At 44.1% G+C, this 21,611-nt stretch overlaps 1 long non-coding RNA gene across 4 annotated transcripts in view, besides 1 other annotated feature; it reads left to right on the top strand.

Moving 5' to 3' along the window:
- LOC105374122 (uncharacterized) overlaps positions 1-21,611 on the top strand; it is a 161,587-nt gene that overhangs the window by 51,499 nt on the left and 88,477 nt on the right. Inside the window, exon 5 of one of the 4 annotated variants that reach the window (XR_001740926.1) lies at positions 6,162-7,937. The exons of the other annotated variants lie outside the window; for them this stretch is intronic. This is a non-coding gene — a long non-coding RNA (uncharacterized LOC105374122). Of the gene's footprint in view, positions 1-6,161; positions 7,938-21,611 lie in introns of those variants that run through there. 4 annotated transcript variants of the gene reach the window in all.
- Positions 11,726-12,233: an enhancer, noted in NCBI's record as "NANOG-H3K4me1 hESC enhancer chr3:135171489-135171996 (GRCh37/hg19 assembly coordinates)". NCBI's record gives its function as "activates a minimal SCP1, AML or CMV promoter by ChIP-STARR-seq in primed H9 embryonic stem cells {active_cell/tissue: H9 hESC(primed)}" and the evidence as "EXISTENCE:reporter gene assay evidence [ECO:0000049][PMID:30033119]".

The raw sequence follows: 21,611 nt of genomic DNA, 5'->3' as shown, positions 1-21,611 counted from the left end.
GTTATATCCTCTAGAAGATTTATTGTTTTACCTTTCATATTTAGGTCCATGATTCATCTGGAATTGATTTTTCTAAGTGATGTGATTGGGGTCAAGATTCTTTTATTCCCCATGAAAATATTCAGTTGGCCCAGAAATATTAATTGAAGACAGTAATTCCCCTACAGAAATCATAGTCACATCTTTGTCATAAATCAGGTGACTAAATATGAACAAATCTGTTCCTAGACTCTCTGTTTAATGCCAGTGCTTCATTTGTGTATACTGGCACCATTCTTTGCAGTCTTAAATATGTTAGCTTTATAAAAATCTTGCTATCTAGTAGTAAAAGTACCCTAACTTTATTGTCTTGGCCATTTCAGGCACTTTGTATTTTCATATAAATTTTAAATCCAGCCTGTCAATTTCCACAAAAATGCATTTTAGTTCTACTTATATATTAAACTCATCCAAGACATTATTTTAAAGTCAATATTTACTTTGTTTTATCCATGTATTTATTCTCTTGAATCTTCTTTTTTCTTTTCCATTTTACCTGTTTCTATATAAGGTCATTTTCCTTTTGCTGGAGAACTTCTTCTAGTATTTATTTATTTTAGTGTGGGCCTCCTGATAACAAATATTCTCAATTTTTGCCTGTCTTAAATGTCTTTATTTTGTTTTATTTTTGAAGGTTATATTTTTTGGGTATAGAATTCTAAATTAAGACTCATTTGCTTTCGTACTTCAAGTATGTCATTATAGTCTTCCCTTTTCCATAATTTCCATTAAAAGTAACATGTAAGTCATATTAGGTCTTTTTTTTTTTTCTTCTGGTTGCATTTCTAGATTTTTTTTTTTTTTTTTTGCCTGGGTTTATTGAAGGGTCTTAGTCCATTTGTCCTGCTATAATTACATGCCTGAGACAAGGTAACTCAAAATAAAAATTAATTTTCTCTTAGTTCTGGAGTTTGGGAAGTCCAAGATCAAGGTGCCAGTACATTTGGTTCTGGTAAAGCCTGCTCTCTGCTTCCAAGATGATATCCTCTTGCTGCATCCACACATGACATAAGGGGGCAAAAAGGGATGAATCCTGGCTGTATCCTTGCATGACAGAAGAGATAAAAGAGCCAGATAGCTCTGCAGTCTTTTTTATAAGGGCATTAATCTCATTCATGAGGGCAAATCCCTTCCTACTTGATCACTTCCCAAAGGCCCCACCTCTTAATACTATCACATTGAGGATTAACTTTCCACATGAATTTTAGACAGACACAAAAATTCAAACCATAGCAAGTAGTTTTCCTATTTTCTGCATGCATGCTTTTACTTATATTTCATCTATTTGGGGCTTACGAAGATCCTTGAATCTATGTATCGGTATCTTTTGTCAGTTTTGGTCATTTTCTCTTCAAATATTGCTTCTGCCTCACTCTCTCTTCTTTTTCTTTTGGGATCTCAAATACATATATATTAAATTTTTCTAAATTGTTCCATATACCTCATTACTTTTTTCTGTGTTTACCATTCATGTTGCTTTATGTTTCAGGTTGTTTATTTTTATTGTATTGATATTTCCAGTTTATTAATCTATACTTCTGCTGTGTCTAATCTACTGTTTAAACTCATACATTTAATTCTTAATTTCAGTCATTGTCTTTGTCAGTTTCAAAAAAAAAAAAAAATTTACATTTGATTCATTTTATCGATTCTGATAATTCTCCATTTGATATCTATTTTCTTGTACATCTTAATATTATTTTAAATATTAAATTTAATTACTAATTATTAATTTAATTATTTAAAAATCTGAATCTAATAGTTTCTAAGTGTTAACCTGTAGGCTTGTTTCTTTGTCTTTTTTTCCTCTTGGGTTTTGAAAATTTCATCCTGACTCCTGTCATGCCTGGTTATATTTTATGGAATGCTGGAAAATGTATATGAGAAATTACAGAAGTTCTGTTCGACATTATCTTCCTCCACAGAGGATTAAAATTTCTCTTCTGTGAAATAATTAAGTTAGGGGAAGGTCACCTTTACCTAATAGTGGCTAAAAATGTTTCAAAGTTTGGTTTCCTGTTTTAGAGGGCTCATTTATTCTCAATTGCCTTTAAACCTAAGGCAGAACATTTTAGAGGTCTTCAGTGAAGACATGCATTGCTTATCAGGGTATCTTCTCTTTGGTGGGCCCTAAACTTTGACATAAACTAGCATCAGTACACAAAATAGCACTTGATCACGATCCCTCAGCTTCCATACTGAGTCCTCTGAGGACAGTTAATCAATCCCCATCCACAGGAAACACAGCTGCTAATGAACCTATTCATACACAAAGGTATTACATCTTCACCTTCACTACCATAGAGTCTACCTCCATTCCCATTTCCATGGAACCATCCTACTTTTCCCCACTCTCTCCCAAACCCCAAGTACCAGACACTCTCATCCTATTCCTTCTCCATTCTATGCCTATTCCTATCCTATACCCTATGCATAGCTGAGGAATCCCATTTAATTTAATTTCTCCCTGTGAGCATTATTAGCTTCAAGGAATCGTACAGAGTTCTTCCTCCCAGATACACAGTGATTCAGGCCAGGCCTTGGAGACCTGCCATCCTATATGTTTCTATACCATTGAGGAATGCATTTAGGACCACAGCAATAACTGTTGTTATCCACCCTCCTCCAAGAACTATTAGGACCAGTCCCATCATTTCCGCTATTCCATACATCCCTGTTTAACTGGCAAAAATCAAATCATCCCTGGGCATCCATAATCTCCTATAGTCTCATCCCTGAACTATTTTGTACATCTACTAATCAGACTCCACATCTCTCCTACTCTGTGCCTGCTGAAACTCTCTCTGTGCAGTTATAGTCTCCCATATACTCACCTCTTTTCAGACATCCCTTGCATTTAGGGAACCAGACATTGTAGAATAGAGGTAAGCATTCCTGCTGTGTCATGCCTCAATTCCTGTCCCACATAATTTTTGAGAATATGTAACCATATAAAATAGCTTTTGTTTTACACTACTCAGTTGTGGGTTGTTTGTTACACAGTATTAGGTAAGCAAAACAGAGCCCATCCAGTCTCGGGAATATACATAAAAGTTTTATGCAAAGGACTCCCACATGTATGTATTAAGCGTAAACTTCTCTCCTGAGCTCCAGATTCAAAAACTCAGTTCTCTCCTTGACATCTGCCCTTGAGTGTCTAATAGGCACCTCAAGGTAATATTGAATACTCTCGAATATCTGACTCCTAAACCTGCCCCTGTCTTACTCCCAGTCTTATTTTAGTGCATAGCACAAATATCCACTTGGTCTTTTATCCCCATATCCAGTCTACTTGCAAGGTCTGTAGAGTCTGTCTACCTGTCTTCATCTCCAGGGTCACTTCCTGAATTCACGCACCTTTCATTTTGCACCTACATTTCTGCAAGAACCTGTAACTGGTCACTGTGCCTCAGAGCTCAACCTTTCTAGCTTCTCCTCCTCACTGCTCACCAAGTGATTATTCTAAGATGTAATTCTGGTGGGCTCACTGCTCAGTTAAAAGCACTTTGATAGTCCTTCAATACCTGATAAGATAAAACTCAAAGTCCTTGTAGTCACATGTAGGGAACTTCATAATCTGGATCCTTTATTACCTGACCCCAGACTCCCTCTTTCCCTCTTACATTGCTCTGGCTGCACAGAATCACCAGGTTTCCTGAAAACACTGTCCCCTTTCACACCACTGTGCTCGTCCATACTGTTCATTCGAACTGGCATTTCCTTCTCCCACTCCTCTTGCCACATACCTAGAAAACTCTACATCCTTCTGGACCTTGCTCAGGTGACATTTTTTGTGTGTGTGTCACATGGTTTCTTACCTCTACAACATCAGATAGCTGGAAGTTACTGGAGACTTAGCAACTAGAGAGAGAAATAATAAATCAGCTGTAATTGTTATATTCAATTTGTTTTATTTCCTTCTGTTTTCCCCCATGCCCATTTACACACACACACACATACTCACACACATTTATAACTATAACTTACATGCGGTTTTGTACTTTGCTTCTTTCACTTAACACAGTATCAACAAAGCATTATTAAAAGTGATTTAAGTGAGGTGATGCAAATGTTCTACGTTGTCATTGTGATGGTGCTTAAGTGACCATATACATTTGTTAAAATGTGATTGTATTGTGCAGTTAACATCTGTGAATTTTTATGGATCATACATTTTTCCTTAATAAAGTTGATACAAACTTTCATGTATGCTAAAATCTATAGTTTAAAATGTTAACTAGTAACTTGGAACCTGTTGTAGATTTTTGAGCTAATCTTGTTCCTCTTTTGTGATCTCTCTGTGCACATTAGTTTTGTCTTTTTATGTGCAGCTATTGGTTTGTGTGCCTACTTCTGCTACACTGTGAGTTCCTGTTTATTCACCTTTGTATTCCCCAAGGACATGACCAGGGCCTAACTCAGAGTACATGCTCTGTAAATGTTCCATCCGTTCAATAAAAAACTAGTTATTGCAACAAATTTTAAACATTATTAGCTCAGTAATCATTAAAGAACCTGACATATGTTGCTGCTCACTTTTGTGAGTTTGGTGGGTGCCTGTTCCTTGCAGGTTCTGTTCCTGTCTTGGTGGGAATCTATAAGAATAATAAATTTTATTTTACTTCGTAAAAACTTACATAACGTCTGTTCTAAGGGCTTTATAAATATTAATTTAATCCTCAAAGTGGCCCTGGAGGATAGTTAATATTACTGTTATCCCCATTTTACAGAAGAGTCAATAAAGGAGGCACATAGATGTTTAGAACTTGCCCCAGTTTGCACATTGAGTAAGTAGAGGAGCCAGGATTTGGAATGAGGCGTTCCAGCTTCAAGGTCTAGGCTCTTCTCCACTCTACTTGGGCATAGGATGAACCCATGTTGTGAAGTTTGTCCTAGAGGAGTTCCTCTGGGGACACATATCTGTGCCTCTTTCTGGAAGTGCCTGCCATGGTCACCTCCTGCTTTCATGTACCTCATCCTCCTGTTTTCTGCTTTCACGGCATTGGCTGCCCTCACCCTCCCTGGTCCCTGGCCTCTAGCCCTCACTTCTGTGGCCCAGATTTTTGAGACCTTGCCTCCTCCATGTGAAATTGGGGTGTGAGTTTCAGGGTATTCTCTGGCTTGCCTCAACCTGCCTCAAAAGGTGACCCTAGTTGGCATAGTCAACCTTCCACAGACTGGCTGTCTTCCTGAGTCTATTCCAGGCGCATGGGGTCAGATGGTGTTGCTGACCATTGAAGGTCTGTGATCTCATTACCCACTGCTAAGCAGACCTGCCCTGGAGTGGGTAACAGCAGGAACCGCCACGCCAGATTGATGACAGGACTGTCTTCATGGGGACCCGGGCAGAAGAAAGGCATCACCCTCCTCCTCACCTATGACACCCCAGGAGAATACACACAACAAAGCTTACAGACCTCTAACTAGGGAGAGAGTAGGGATGGAAGATATGGTTGAGGCTGTTCACTTCAGCATCTTGTGGATGGGAGGAGGCTGTTAAGAGCACACTGGGAACAATCTGTCTAAGGGAGGATAATACAATGTTCATGTTCTTCTCTTAGCCAAAGATTTCACATTCATTAAAAATGATACCCAACCCTCTTTCTCTCATTGCAAGCATTAGCCACCTCCCCTGTCAGATTGAGAGTGTTTGTATGTTTGGGAATGAGTGGGTGTTGGGAGGAGGCTGGCAGCATAGATTCGACAATCTCCTGGTGTAATAATGGAGCGGGCGGATTCAATGACGCCCAATTCAAATTAGTCACAAGGAAATGCATGATCATCAGTGTGCCAGCACTAGGGAATTCCTCCTATTTAGTGAAATAAAGTGTCACAAACAACGGCTAAGAGAGAATTGTGTGTTTCCACTTGTGGGAGTGCTGATTTTTAAATTTTATTTCTGGAAAAGGATTATAGAAACATAAAACAAAAATATTTCGACTTGAAAAATACTTCCTAATTATATGTCATAAAATAATTAGGTCATGGCAAATTAGCACAAATGTTTACAGCAAAATTGCCATGTAAAACATTATTGGTAATATTATGCTAATTGCTGCAGAAGCAAAAGCTGATTATGTTTCGGCAGCATTAAAATTTGCCACGTCTGCATTTCTCTCCAGCATCACCAGTTTTCCATGAGAGCACCAAGCCTGTGATTTCAGTAGAAGCTTAACTGCTCGTCTTTGAGGCACCAAATCTGAAAAGCGATCTTCCTGAAGACCATGCTAAGGCAAGAACATCCATATAAGGGAGAATTCCTGAAAGTGTTCTAACACTTCAGTGGAAACTCATCAATGCTCTGTACCCAGAATAATCCCATTTCGGAGGGTGCATGGATGGGGCAGATGCATGATGTGCCCTGAGGAGCAGAGGAAACATGGGCTTGGGTTGTGAAGGATCTCAGAGAAGCTCTCCTGGACTGGCCCAAATGTCTCAAACTTTAATGTGCACATAAATCTATTAAAATGCAGCTTCCACTTCAACACATCTGGAGTGAGACCAGGTATTCTGCATTTTTAACAAACTCTGGTGTATGCTGGCGGATGTCTGGAGTGCTGCTGGTCCATGGACCGCATGTTGAGTAGCAAGGCCCTGGAGGAAATCTTGTCCAAGGTTGCAAATTCAAATGTCTTGGGGACCAGGTAGGCAATGAAGAATGACAGAGATGGGAGTAAGACAATTTGGAATGGCAGAACCTGTGAGGAAATGGAGGACAAGCAAGTCCATTAAAGGTATCCAAAAGCATTGGAAGAAAGAGAGGAGAGAGAAAGAGAGGGAGGGAGCAGGCGGAGAAGGGAGGCTTTTTTCTGCAATGCTGCAGAAAAGCCTTTTAGCCTAGAGGGATGGAGCCCTGGGTTAGACTTCATGTTGGGGGTTCTTTGGTCCTGCTCTAGCCAGGCATCTGGGACCCTATGTATTGTCCTGTGTTCCGTCACTTTAACCCTGCCTGAAGTCCCTGAGTCTTGTCCTTGGGGTCCAGAGGGCTTCAGTTTTTAGTTATTTAGACTATTGATACTTACATTGGGTTTATCATTTGGTGAGTCCCCACTCTGTGACATGGACTACACTCAGGTGTTCATAGGAATGATTTCATTTCATCCTCACAACAATAGTAGATCGTCTTACTATGCCCATTTTACAGATGAGGAAACTGAGACATGGAAAGGATAGGCAATTTGTTCAAAGTCTCATAGACAGAGCCAGGGCTGAAATCCTGTGTCTCTAACTCTAAATCATGCCTGTGTCACCATGAAAGTCTGCTTCCCCTTAATTCTCACCCATGAGACCGGCAAGTGCCACAATGCTGTGTCTGTCCTCCTTGTAGTCCCAGTGTGTGGTGCAGTGCCTGGTGCTAAATATTTGTTAACGTTGCATGAGTCTTATTTCATATTGGTGGCTTCCTTCTCCAAGAGTGACTCCCAACATCTTGCAAAAGGCAGGTCTTTGTGAGAAAAGATGTTTCATTTCCCAAGATCAGTCCCCTCAACATATGCTGCTGCGTAGAGTTCCCAGAAGGGCGAGGGCTTGCAGAGCGAGGCTCCTGCCCACCACCTTCTCTCATGTTTGCATTTTGAGCATAAGATTCACAAAGTACAGTCCAACTGCTTCACATTATTTTTTTCTGCTCAGAATAATAACCCTCTCGATTATGTTATTCTTTTTTATTATTTATTGTGTGCCCTGGGGAATTTTCATTTTAACCAAGACATTGGTTCAATTGCAAACTGGCAAAGAATGATTTGTAAGGAGATCAGTGTTGGGAGCTTATTAAAACATGTATTTAGGGGATGGTTTGGAAATAGGAAAAGGAAATCTCTCAGGAGAGGAGATATTTTCCAGAGTTGAAAAGAAATTATGGAATATGAGGGAGGGAAAAGAAGAGGACAGGGGAGGAATATTTAAGAAATAAAATTGATAGCAAAATAGGAGGTACATGGAGGAAAAAAATCTAAAGTCATAGCTAGGAAAATAAACAAAACTCCTCAGAAATAAAATATAAATTTGACTTCATTTAAAAGAGAATGAAAAATGTACCCCTCCATCTTGCAAGCTCGCAAATGAGTTTGAGCCCTCAGCTGGATTATTCAGATGTTTTATCTGAAGAACTATTGAAATTCCTGGGAGGGGGCTTCATCCTTACTCTAGAAGTGCAGGGGTTAACCAAGAGCCTCCTGGACCCAGAGACGCCTGCGACGCCCCTCCCAGAGTGAGTGGTCTGGGCACAAGGACTGCTCTGGAGCCTGGCTGGACACCTCTGGAAGAAGAGCTGTGTTGTGTCGGCTTTGCAGAAACCACTCCCGTTCCTCCTCCAGGGCCCTGTCAATGTCAGTGGTGCCTCTTGGAGTTGTGCCACATGGTGGCCCTGTCCCCCTTCCCAGGGATCCTCCTGAGCTGACAGGGCAGCTCCCTTCTCTGGGAGGCTTCCTGCTCCCCTCCTGTTTGCCGGGCATCCATTCCTGCGCCGTTGCTCCCCAGGCCTCTAATGGCCTCCATGGAGCATCTTTATTGTGCAGCCGTGATTTATGGGGGCCGGCCAGATGCAGCCAGGCCCAGAGTGCCTCTGCAGGGGCTTTCCCACCCCGGTGTGCTCAAGAGGAGGAGTTAAGGAAGAGTGTTTTCACACAGGGAGCAGAAGAGCTTGTTACAAAAGGCTCCAAGCGTTTCGATTCTCATCAGTGAATCCATATTCAGAGGCCCTGTGTCAGGCTGCTGGGGGACTGACAGCCGACCGCTGCCCAGCCTCTCAGAGGCAGTTAACAGCAGTCAAGCCTGCGACTACAAACAGCAATTTGTTTTCTTCAGACCTCTGTTTCTGAAATGAGGAAGGCTGAATTTCCTGAATTCTTGGGCTTCCATGGAGAAATTAATTCAGCAATGAAGTCTGGGAGTCTGAGATGCATGTTTTTATTATGCCATTTTAAACAAGAAGGGTGCCAGGTACCATCTTCTTGTTCTCTCTTGGGGGGTGAGGGGGTGTTTTCAGCATTGCTTTCAGTACCTCACATAATCCCTTCCCCAACACATGTATACACACGTGCACACACAGTGACACCCACCCCCAAACACACTAGGGTCCTCTGCTGTTGTCTCCACTCACCTCACTCAGTCCAGGAGCAGCCTGGTCATCTTCACTGTTGGGCAAGGTGGCCTTTCCTCCACCTTCCAAATGCCTGAGTTTGTGTGCCCAGTCCTCACATTCCCTGCTTTTACATCCCTTGCCAGCACAGGAGCAAAAGTGAGCATGTGCATTATTAACTTTGTGGTAGGCAACATAATATTCCCCCAAAGACATCCACATCTTAATCTCCAGAATCTGTGCATATGTTATCTTACATGGCAACAGGGACTTTGCAGCTGTGATTAAATTAGGGATCTTGAGATGGGGAGATTATCCTGGATTATCTGGGTAGGCTGAATGTAATCTCAAGGGTCATGATAAGAGGGAGGAAGGAGGGCCAGAGTGAGAGCTGATATGACAACATAAGTGGAGGCCAGAGCAATGCGGGGCCACAAGTCAAGGAATGCGGGTGCCTTGAGAAGCTGGAAAAGGCTGAAGGAAAACTCCCTGCCGACACCATGATTTTCATCCAGTGCCACCTGGTTCAGACTTCTGACCTCCAAAGCCATGATGTTTGTGGGAATTTGTTAGAACTGCAATAGGGAACTAGTACAACCTGGGGCAAGGCCAACATGACAGGCGAAGGAAATCCTCCTTTTCTGTCTTTGAGCCAGCAGGACATCGCATCTGTATCAGCTTGCAGCATCTAGGCGGTGGTAGGGGCAGGCAGCAGGAATAGGTGGGGCTCAGTCATGTGTCATGAGGCTCTAAGAGCTGGGGAAGACTGGATGTCAGGTTGTAGAACTGTGGCAGAAAGCTAGTGAAGTTTTAAATTTAAAACTTGCTGGATTCAGGGTTCAGGGCTAAACAATTACTAACAGCCCTGAACCCAGGGAGTGGGAGGCAGCCTGTATAGGCTAATGGAGGAAGCATGGCCCAGGCAGGCAAGCTGGGGACGGGCAAACGGGAAAATGTGACACTTTCAGACCTTCATTTTTCTACTGCTATATAGTTTCCATGCCTGGCTGATGACCAGAATTATTTGGGGTACCTGATAAAAGTATAGATTTGAGGTCCCATCCTGAGGCACTTGAGGAACTCAATCACCGGCACGGTCTTCAGTAACTTTTGTTGCACCAGGTATGGTATCTTGTACCCTCCTATTCCCAGCCATGTGGATGGGTCCCTATGGCTGAGTCCCTGCCTCTAATTTTCATTCTTCCTGGCAGTCATCCACTCCCACCCCAGCCACAGCACCCCATTGAATGGCATTCTGACTTGACCAGGTGTGGGTCCACAGGCACCCAGTCTGCTCAGTTATCCATCCCAGGCCTTCCCAGCCTCAGCTTAATTCCCTTGTCAGGCAGCTGACCTGCTGAGGTCACAGCACAATGTCCAGTGGAGCTCAGAGGTATTGACAGCTCCTGCTTCTACAAATACATCACATTTCTACCTATGCTGGCTCAGATCCTTTTAATTCTTTCTGTTCCTTCCCTACCCTTTCCAACTGGACCCCAGAACTGGGGCAGCTGAACCATTTTTCCTCCAACAGTCAGGGACTGCTGAAATTCGTGCGCCATTTTCTGTACTAAGACTCCTGTATTCACTTCCATTTAAAATAAATATTTATCTATCATTTGTAGGTCATATGCCCGTCTATTTTAGATCTTGCTCCTTTGAGTGCTGGGAAGCATGGCATAGGCGTTAAGACTTGAAATCCCTCCTGAATAGTTCTTCACTGTTTGACTTTGAGCAAGTTCTTCAGCATCTCTTGATCTCAGTGTCCCCATCTGTGCAATGGGGATAAAAATAGAACCTTGCATATAGTTTTCTTGCCAAGATACAATGAGCTAATTTATTTAAAATCCTTAGAGCAGCACCTGGCAAGTTGTAGGTGCTCAATAAGTGTTAGGTGTTATTATGATTGGTGCCAGCCTTTGAGAGATTTATTTCAGAAACAGAAATTTTAAAAATTTCCCAAGTTTGATTGACTCCATCTTCTAAAACTCTCCTCTTGCCAGCTTCAACTCTCAGCAGACCTTCAAATAGAGAGTGAAAAGAGTGATTTCAAACTCAGCTTATCTTTCTGGCCCTACATCCTTTTTTATAGTTGAGCAAACAAATAGAAATAAGCTCAAAAGGCAGAGCGGAGGGTGGGAGAGGCCAAGGTTGCTCAAGATGAGACAGCTGAGAGTCAGCCGAGGCTGGTCCACATGAATCTAATCCTCACACCATCTGTTTGCTGATTTTCCCCTCTGCCCTCCTCTTTGAGGAGCAAGACATTCGGAGCAGACGGAATTGAGGGCCCTGCAGACAGGTGGTCCCAGCTCTTCATGCTGGAGTTTTCAATTATGATGCCAGTCAATGGGAGAGAGTGGAGGGCGAAAATGAAAATGGAATATTTGGTTAGCGCTCTGACAAGCCATGAATCAAAACCAGGTGAAATTGCTCTGGGGTCTCGTGGCCTGTCAGCCTCCATCATCCATTCTGCTTGCTCCTCAGCAGTGTAATTCTGCACGCAGACAGTGACGTTCACAGGAAAGCAGACTCCAGCCCCGCATGACTGGGTCTTCCGCGGCCAGCCCTGCCAGGTACATTCTCAGGCCAGGACAGACAATCTGCCTCCATGGGCCTGCCGGCAAGAGGAGGTGAAGAGGGCGGGAGGAGGGGCCGTCAGCAGGGTGGGCAGAGAGGTGTGTCTGACCCACATCACAGCGCTGCAATGCCTGCTCACCTCTCAGGGCTCTCTGTGGGCGCTCATCAGTTCCCTGCAGAGTGGCTATTCATTCTTACTTGAGTAACCCTGGCAGAGGCTGGGAGCTGTGTCTGCTGGGGTCAAGGCCATAAGGCTGCCTCTGGTCAGTAGGAGAAAGGGGAAAGCTGCAAAGGAGAGTGTCTTCTCCATCCTCTTCTGCTTCTCTTCTCCCCTCACAGCCCTGACTGATTGAACGTCCATCAAGGAAGGAGCAGAGAGTGCTGGACAGGGAGCCCATAAATAGTGAGTTTTGATGGAACACATGAGTGAAGGAATGCTTGGTAGAGAGGCCAGGCTGAATTCAATAAAGCAAAGCCTCACTCATTCAAGGGTCTGCCATCCAGGGTGTGGAAAGCTGGCTTCTTTTGTCCTTTTTGTCACTCATGTTCATCATGTAAACATCTGTTGAGCACAGTGAGGATTACAATATGATTCCAGCTCTCAGGACCCCCATGGTCTGGGGCAGCTCAGATAGTAAATTGGAGTAAAGAAGGCAGTGGAGAGGCCAGCCTTGGATTCCAGGAGGTCCTGCAGAGAAAGCTAGTGTCAAGTAGGCCTCTGGATTGTCAGTACCTATTAGGGAGATGGCAGTCAGGGCTGCTGCTTACAGTTATGCAGGTTGTTCACTGCCCAAGGAAAAGGCATGGGAGGACTAAGGTAGAGCTCACTTTCCACCCACTGAGCCATATGTTCTGGCATGGTTGTGTCTGTCCAGAAGAACAGGAGACTTTGGATTCACACAGAGCATCAATGGGCCAAGGATAGCCCTGCAGTCAGACAGCAGAGAAGTCAGATAGTCAGCACTGGAGCACTGCAGCAGAGAAAGATCATGAGCTGCCCAGAGCCTCTGTAGCTGCAAAATAAGGCAGGATCAGGTCCAGTGATGCCAGAATGAGGTCAACAGCAGCTGATGTTAAGTTGGAGAGACAGAGTAAAATCAGATTCCAAGGGGCCAATTAAGATTCAAACGGTGAATAGTGAATAGAAGGTGAGGAAAAGCCAAAAGTCTGTTTCAGGTTCTGGCCTATGATCAGTCATTCAGGAGGGCCCATTGCTGTGGCCATAAAGCCTGATGCCATTCACAAGTGTCTGCTTGGCTGCCACTATCTGTACTTGCGGCACCTGCCTCAGATGGGAATTGGGTGGGGTGCAGTAGTACAAGCCATGATCTGGTGGCTCAGATCATGCTGATGGTGCCTGGAGGTACAACCAGGATCAGTGGCTGAAAGTTTCTGGTAGGTGGATTTTAGCTCAAGATAGGCTACCTAGCTATGAAATCTGTCGCTTTGTTTGATGGTGACAGAGGTGTCACTGGAGGTATTCAAGCCCCCATCAGGGAGCTCACATGAGGGATTCCTTGTGCCTAGTGGAAGGTTGGGCTAGAAGTTTCTGAGGTCCCCTTTCAGCTCTGCATCATCTGAATCTGTGAAACACCAGTCAGCTGGATTTCCTCCTTGTCAGAGAGGATTGATTGCAGAGGAAGTTGAAATTGATGACTAGCACAGGGTTTTAGGTTTTAGTTGTATTTATTTATCTTCCTCCTCCAGGCTCCCTCCCATTTCCCAAATTTCAAATTCATTCCATGAATATTTGAGAGCAAATTGCTCATCCAGGTGCTAGAAGGATCCATGTGGTTATTATGCAGAGAGTTCCTGCTCATCTTCACCTAGGGCATTTTTTCAGTGCAGCAGGACAAGTGGCCATCTTGGCAGTGGGAGACCTAGGACATGGGGAACTAGTCATGCTGGACCTGTAGGAGAGAGGAAGTGTCTCATGTAGGGCCTCTGCTGCTACTTCTTCTAGGCTACAGAGTGAGGGCAAAGTCCAGCACAGGCCCTATAAGCTGTGTCAGCAAATGGTATTGTAGTGGGATGTTGCTGTACGTACAGCATCCATTTTCCCATCCTGAAGCTGTTCCTTGGTTTTCCTTTGGGGAACCATTTCTTTCCCCACTGCCAGGCCAGTGCATGTCTTCTCCAGCACATGTCAAAGGCCTAGACAATTCATGTCCATGGCCACAGCTATTGGCTCAACGTTGGGTATGTAACACCATCCAAGTCACTGAGGTGCAAATCTAGCATTTCACAGGAAATATGGGACAGTAGAAGCTTTATATTTACTAATGGGAATTGTTAAGACAGCAGAATATAAGCCTGAAGCTTCTAAAAGCCACTGCAAAGAAAAAGTGTGCATAAGAATGCAGCTAACACTGGGGAAAGCAAATTGAGGGATGGAAAGAGAGCAAAGCTCTGGACCAAGCTTCTCTTGAGGCTAGGCTTATCTCTGGACTTTTTAGTTACATGAGCCAATAAAAGCTTTACCTTGACTTTTTTGTTGAACCAGCTTGAGTAGAGGTTCTGTCCTTTTCACTTGAAAAAATCCTGGCTAGTTCAGGAATGTTCCTGGGGAAGCCCTGCCTCTGAGGCAGCAGCAGAGCAAGAGTAGGGAGCAGAGCTGGGATCCCAGCTATTGGGTAGCCAAGGCCTCAGCTGGGGCACCTGGCTTCCTTGGATGACTTGTGCCTTGGCCTGAGTGGCAGCCCCACCCAGGCAGCTGTCCTGTTTCTTGCTCATCATTCTCCAATCCATGAAATGACACAGAATGATCTCTGCAATTGGGGCATTTGACTGGAGACCTAAAATGTGTTCTGCAGAGCAGTGGGCCCCAGAGATGATCTAGAGCCAAGGAGCCTGTATACACAGGAGCATGGGTGCTGGTGTGTCTACATACCCCTCCTGGAGATTCACGCTGTGTGTTGGAATGCCAAAGGTTCTGAGAAGTCCAATAGGAAATGAATCTGTTTAACTTGGCATATCTTTTATTTTTCAAATATTTTTCGAATATTTTACCTCCATTTTTCTACCATCACCAGAACACCCTTGGGGCAATGCTGACCCGGGTTTCCTCATTTTACACTTGGTAATGCTTCTCATCCTGGGATATTGGGCTGTGGGAGCTTATCTAGTGGCTGGAAAATTATTATTATTTTTCCTTACAAAACTTGGGTCCAGTTTGAGAGAAGCTGCGCTACCCCAGGGATTTGTCCTCAGGGACCTTTTTTCACAAGGTACCAAGCTATCTCCCAGGAAAAGCAAGAGAACATGGAGGCACGTGATTTTGTTGTCAACATAAAAAACCAGGGCAATAGGGAGAGGTGGTTTTGACTGGATCCTACAGTCTCTTAAATATGACTGTTTCCCCACTATGGCACACGGTCCTGAGAGCTGAAGCTTCAGTGACGTGGGGGTGAGCAACTTTGAGCAAGGAGGGACTGTGTAGAGCCTTCACTGTGGACACTGGCCTTCGCTGAGAGTGACCTAACATCGGATTCCTCTGTTCTGGCATCAGCAGACACTGAGAGGGGATATCTATGAACAGCAGCACAAGCATTGGAGAACAAAGAAGAGGAGAAGAGGATGGAGGAGGAGGAGGAGGGCATGTCTCAAGATGTCTAGAGTGCAGCACCCATGCATCACCCCAGGACTTCCTAGAGAGATTTGGAGAATGTTTGGTAGACATGGGAGGAACTAGAATTGGGGAAAAGTGGTGGCGGCACTCCTGAGTGCAGAATTGTGAGGCTCACTTCCTACTCAGGCTGGTGTGGCCTGAGAAACAGGGTTTCTGGCAGGTTGACACTTCCCCACGGGAGCTTGATCCAAAAGGCTGCTGGCCCTTTGTCAAGATTCACTCTCCAGAAAAGGGACTCTGTCCCATAAGCAACACAATGGGATTCTGGGGCCACTTTTTCCAAGCAGCTCCAGCCCTGTCTTGCTGCCCTTGTGCCCTACTCACATCTCTGGCTCTGTCTTCCCACCATCTGAAGTTCCATCCCAGCCTGGGAGCCTCTTCTTTGGGGTCAAGGCAGGCCCAGAAGTTCATCTACTATTCTCAGCATGTAGAACTGTGAATGGCTCATAAAATGGTGTTTGGAAGAGTGGGTGGAATGGAAAAGTAGCTTGTTTAGCTGTAGTTAAAGGGGACAGCTAATTCTAAACCAGTTTGTGTCTGGCATTGAGCTCACGCCCATTTTGATGACACATGGTGGGGACCAAACAGCCTGCTGCTTTATCCTTCAGGTGTCCTTTTCCAGGAGCCTCCATCCCTGCTCCTCACCTGGCTCACTCCTGCTTCTCCTTTAAGACTCATGTCAGGAATCACCTCCTCTTAGACCTTTCTTGGCTCCTGTGGTGGACACTGCCTGATGCCATCCAGATCCCCCCTTTATCAAAGGATGTGTGGCCCCAGCTGTGGGGTTTGTGGTCAGTAGTAGCACTCTGCTGTCAGCCCCCTCAGGAATTGCCTCATCTGCAGAAAGCCACCCTGCTCAAGCTCATGCCTGTTATTAGTATGGCTCAATTCAATGATGGGTTGATGCAACAGTAGAAAGACCTAAAACTGCATTGGGCTGTTTTAGCTTCAGAGGCCTCCATGTTGTTGCCCAAGACTTTTGTTGGGTCTGATCATGGATCAAATCCTCCCTCTGCCCAACCCTGCTTCTGTCCCCTTCCTTCTACAGAGGTCAGTCCCAAAGACACTCTTTAATAAACCCTGCCTGCTGACTCCACATCAGTCTGCTTTCCGAGGAGCCCCAGCTTGTGAAACTCCTGGTCTGAGTGAGGTGCCCTTGACAGCCCTCATGTTTCCCTCTTACTCTGCACGCTGTGTCACTCCCTATACCATGAGCAAGTTGACTCAGGTGCTCTGCTTTCTCCGCGTTCAAATGCCTGATGTCTAGCACAGCACCTGAGCATAGCAGGCACTCAGTAGGTGATGGCTGGGCATGTGAATGAGTATCCCAGACCCAGGGGCTGTCACTATCCAGTGAGAGGGGTCAAGTGGTTTTTAAAGGCCCCTCAGCCTCCTTTCTTAGCTTTCTTTTCCTCTGTGAGGCAGTGATTTTGTTGGCAACAAGGTTGGGTCAGGGTACTGGCAGATGGTAGGGATCTGAGAAGGGTCAGAGTAGGAGTCTGACTTGAAGAAGCTAGAGAGGTTCTTTTAAAAGGGATGGCTAGGAGGCCGAGTGGGGCAGATCACCTGAGGTCAGGAGTTCGTGACCAGCTTGGCTAACATGGTGAAACCCCGTTTCTACTAAAAATACAAAATATTAGCCAGGCGTGGTGGCACATGCTTGTAATCCCAGCTACTCAGGAGGCTGAGGCAGGAGAATTGCTTGAACCTGTGAGGCGGAGGTTGCAGTGAGCTGAGATCACGCCATGGCACTCCAGCTTGAGCAACAAGAGCAAAACTCTGTCTAAAAAAAACAAAAAAGAAATGGCTTTGGCTTTCTGTGGTATCCTGTCCCAGCTCACCACATGTGCTTTGGTGCAGGGGCTGCACAGGGGAAGTGGCGTAGATGCATCCAATTCTGCCACATCCCAGTTCAAGCTCAGCAGTAGGTGGCAGGAAGGAGTGAGCCTGGCTCTGGCAGGGAGGTCCCCCACTTCCAGTTTCTTGGGTCTGGATCATAGAGTGCCATGTCCTGGGAAGCTGCCACAGGGCACCACCTGGTTCAGCCTCCTCCTACCTCTAGCTCAGGGGCTCCCCTCAGTAGCTTCCCTTCCCTGGGAAGCTCATAAAAACCTTTCGAGTGCCCTTCCCAGGGGCAGGGTTGTGGACACTGTGACTTCTCAAGCTCCTTCCTGTCTCAGGATCTGGATGTGCATGAATACATTTTAAAGTTAGGAACATTTGGATTTTTTGTTGTTTTTTTTTTTTTTTGCTTTACTACTTTGAAACAATCCACAGATAAGCAGTGAGGAATGATGGTGGAGATCAAATGTACATCAGTGATAATGGTTTGCATGATTGGGCCCTTTCTTGCCACTTGGAACACTGAGGCTGGATAGCATCCTTCTGAAACATTGTACTAATCAAACGTGAAATGACAAAACTCGGCAATACTGCAATCCATTATATAATCCTTTATGCTTTTCTGTTTAGCTATAATTAATTAATATTTTCCTAGATATTTCTGAACACATTTATCAAACAGGCATAAAGCAAGGTGCCTTATGTATGTGGATTAAGCCTAAGAGCTAAAATATAATGATAATAAAAATAGAAATAATCATCATGATAATATCTGTTCTGTTACAAATGCTTTGCCCAAATTATCTGTTTAATCCTGACAACAACCCTATGAAGTGGTTAACGTGATTATTTCACCAGGTGAAGAAACCGATGTTTGAGAAGTTAGTTGCTTGTCCACAACTGGTAAGTGGCGGAGATGGAGTAAACCCAAGGCCCTTGCTGCAAGCCTGTGCTCTCCTGGCTGCCCTGACCACCATGGGTTAGGGTCCACAGAAAAGGGCTGAGGACTCATCTCACCTACGAAGCTGCACATGAGTGAGGTGCTGTGGGTGGTTTCAGCAGATGGGGTTGACCTCCAAACACCATGAAAGAGCATCCTAGAGCAGGCAATTGCTGCGGTTCAGGAGAATGGAAACACTATGGTGTAGGGCCATTGTTTTCCAATTTTAAATTTTTTTATCAGTGAAATTCTTTATTTCTCTCAAATGACAAAAGAACCTTGGCTTGTAAAACAGGTAAGGTTTGATTGGAATGAATTGATTTTATAAGTTTAAATGTATGATATTCACTCATTGGTAACCAGATAGTAAGAAAAATGAGGCTGTTTAGATGAATACAGACTTTGAGATCAGTTTTTTTTTGGGTAATATTGGCAGTCTCAGTTCAGTCTCAGTATTCTATTTATGCCTGCATTTTGTTAGGCTGCATGATATTGAAAAAGTCCCGATTCACACAGCTAGATAGTTGTACATATTAATTCCCGAAAGCTTGTCTCATGAGCTCAGTATCCTCTTCCATTAAACTACTCCAGAGATTTGAAAGAGAAGTGGTAAGATAGTTTTGTTCCAGAGTTGAGTTACTCTCAGTCTCTCAGAATGGCCTGCATTCCTTAACTGGTAAGTGTACAAGCTGGAGGAAATTGATGAATGGGTTCTTTAGTTTAAAATCACAACTGTATGGTAGAAAACACTTTCCAAATTTATGTTGTAACATTATGAGATGTTTAACAATATCATTAAAAACTCTCATATATTCTAGTACCTGTCTCTGCCATACAGCCACTCAAAATTTCAAAACAGTCAAATTAATTTTCACTTTTCATTCATTTATTTGCTCATCTATTCATTTGAAAAAATTCATTGAGCACCTTCTATACCAGGCACTGAGTTGGGCACCTCGGATGTAGCAATAAGCAGAACAAAGTCTCTGCCTTCCTGAAGCATACATCCAACTTTGGTAAGATGAATAAACAAAAAATCCTGGCACTTGCCGTGGTGTAATAATTTTGCCCCACTTCTGTTCGTATGCACAATTTTATACATGACAAGTGTAAATACATCAATGAGATGAGGAAACTTTATTTTAAAATCTACATATTCATAAAATAATAAGGAAGCTTTATTTTGAAGCAGACGCATGAGCTAACCTGTCAACATGGGTTACCCATATTTGATATAAAATACATCGACTTTACATATTGCTTTAATTTGTAAATTTCTACATAAATGATTAAAATATATTAAAAGAAAAGTTGCATACAATATTTGTGGAATCCTTAGATCATCTCTTCTGGACTCTAGGTTCCTGGGAAATACAAACAGTATAATGGGGTTGGGGGGAGTATTAAGATCAGACAGCTGGTCTTTGGTTTCAACCAATCTGGTTTGAAATTTGGCTCTGCCCTTGTAAAGTTGTACAATGTCGGGAGTGCATGTAGACCTCAGGGTCTTCACCTATAAGGCAGAGAGAATCCATTTCCCACACTGGCTGGATGCCTGAAACAACATGGCACTCAAGACTTGTTGAAGTCCTTTTCCTTCTCCAAACAGCACAGCCTGGATCAGCCTTGGGGATACCAGTCAACAAGGAGCAGGGCTCTGGCCGTAGGGAATGGCTTGAGTCAGGGCACCAGTCTCTAGGGACAGAGGCGAGGGACCAAGAGTCACTTGGAGGATGGACAAGTTGTGGAGACAGGGACTTGGACACACAAAGCAAACCAGGAACATGATTACCAGAAAGGAGCCCCCTGTGGACACTGGCACTTAAGCAATCTGTTTAAAACCAAGTGGTTCCAGGTGTGAAAAGAGAAGGACTTTAGGGGCAGGGAAGTGAGCAGTGCTGTGCATGGACAAAAGTTGATCTGTATCTTTTAGACTTTGATGAACAATTTCTTCTCAAAAATAGCTTCCTGGTAGAAACCCATCTCCAGTTTATCTTATCTGCTTGGGCTTGGGAGTAAGACATGATTGTCATAGATGCCGCTATGATGGCTGAAGCTGGCTCTTCCTGGTTGAGGAGATGTGATTATGTACATCGTTACCTAAGTCCATTTTTTGGTGATGGCACATTGGTATCTTAAAATCAGTCGTGGTGGGAGCATTTACACCATGGAAATTGCCAAATGCAACAACTCAGGGCTTGTTCTTCAGAGCACCAGTTGTTAAACATTGCATGGTTTTGGAACTATCCTCTGTTGACTTCACCTTTTGGATGAAGATTACATGTGAAGTTTTCCATTTGCAAACTACCCAAACTTAGGTGAGTTTACCCTTAGGCTAACCCTTATCTCCATCACTGACTTCCTTATTGTAGTCACCACCATGGAGCTAGAAATAATCCACAGGTTCAGAAGGGGAGGGAAAACGGCGCTGTGAAAAACCAGAAGACGCTCATGGGAGAGCTGTTCTGTCTGCTGGCTGGTCCCCTGATCATTTTCTCTTCACTTCACCAAGCAGCCGGAAATCCCAGTAATGTAAATAAAGGCAGAAGGAGGCAATCAACCATTTATCTTAGTAAGAATTTATTCCCTGGGGGTTGGGGGAAGAAATTTGATAAGTAATTTTAGAACATGCCCTACCGGGGTGGAAGGTGCTGGAGTTGAGGGTAGGCTTGAAGTAATTCCACTGCTAGGGAGTGACCTTAGGGTTCCAGGAACTAGGAGAAAGTACCAGAGGGCCAAAGACAAAACTACATATTCTTTTTTTTTTTTTGAGATGGAGTCTTGCTCTGTCGCCCAGGCTGGAGTGCAGTGGCGCGATCTCGGCTCACTGCAAGCTCTGCCTCCCGGGTTCACACCATTCTGCTGCCTCAGCCTCCAGAGTAGCTGGGACTACAGGCGCCCACCACCACGCCCGGCTGATTTTTTGTATTTTTAGTAGAGATGGGGTTTCACCATGTTAGCCAGGATGGTCTTGATCTCCTGACCTCATGATCCACCCGCCTCGGCCTCCCAAAGTGCTGGGATTACAGGCGTGAGCCACCGCGCCCGGCCCAAAACTACATATTCTTAAATTTCTTCTAGCACTGGCCCAGCTCCCAAAGAAGAGATAGATTTTTTTTTTTTAATCCTTCTCTTTCCTTAGCTCATAGCCCTGGCCTATGGGGCTTATAGATTAGATAAGCGTTATTGGGACTCATGCTTAGAACATTTTGGGAAATATATTCTGAATATAAATCAGCATTCAGAGAACATAGAGTTAACAACTGTTTTTAGTTCTTCTCATTTAATCCGTGAAAATATTTTTTAAGTTTCACGTAGAACAAGATGGGTTTACTCACCAACTCACATGACAATTTCAGAAATGTCTTATTTTAATTTCTGATTCCTCCTCTGTGGGTAGAAGCTTTTAATCTGTTAGTATCCTCTGCACTCTGAGCATCCCTGTCAAATGGTTAATGATGTGAAAAAAGTACCTAAATGCACTAGGGTCTCTTGGCATTCAAATA

Source organism: Homo sapiens, chromosome 3 (assembly GCF_000001405.40).
Source record: "Homo sapiens chromosome 3, GRCh38.p14 Primary Assembly".
NCBI lineage: Eukaryota > Metazoa > Chordata > Mammalia > Primates > Hominidae > Homo > Homo sapiens.
Note: the sequence above shows the minus strand (reverse complement) of the source record. Positions and strands in the feature narration are given on the sequence as shown.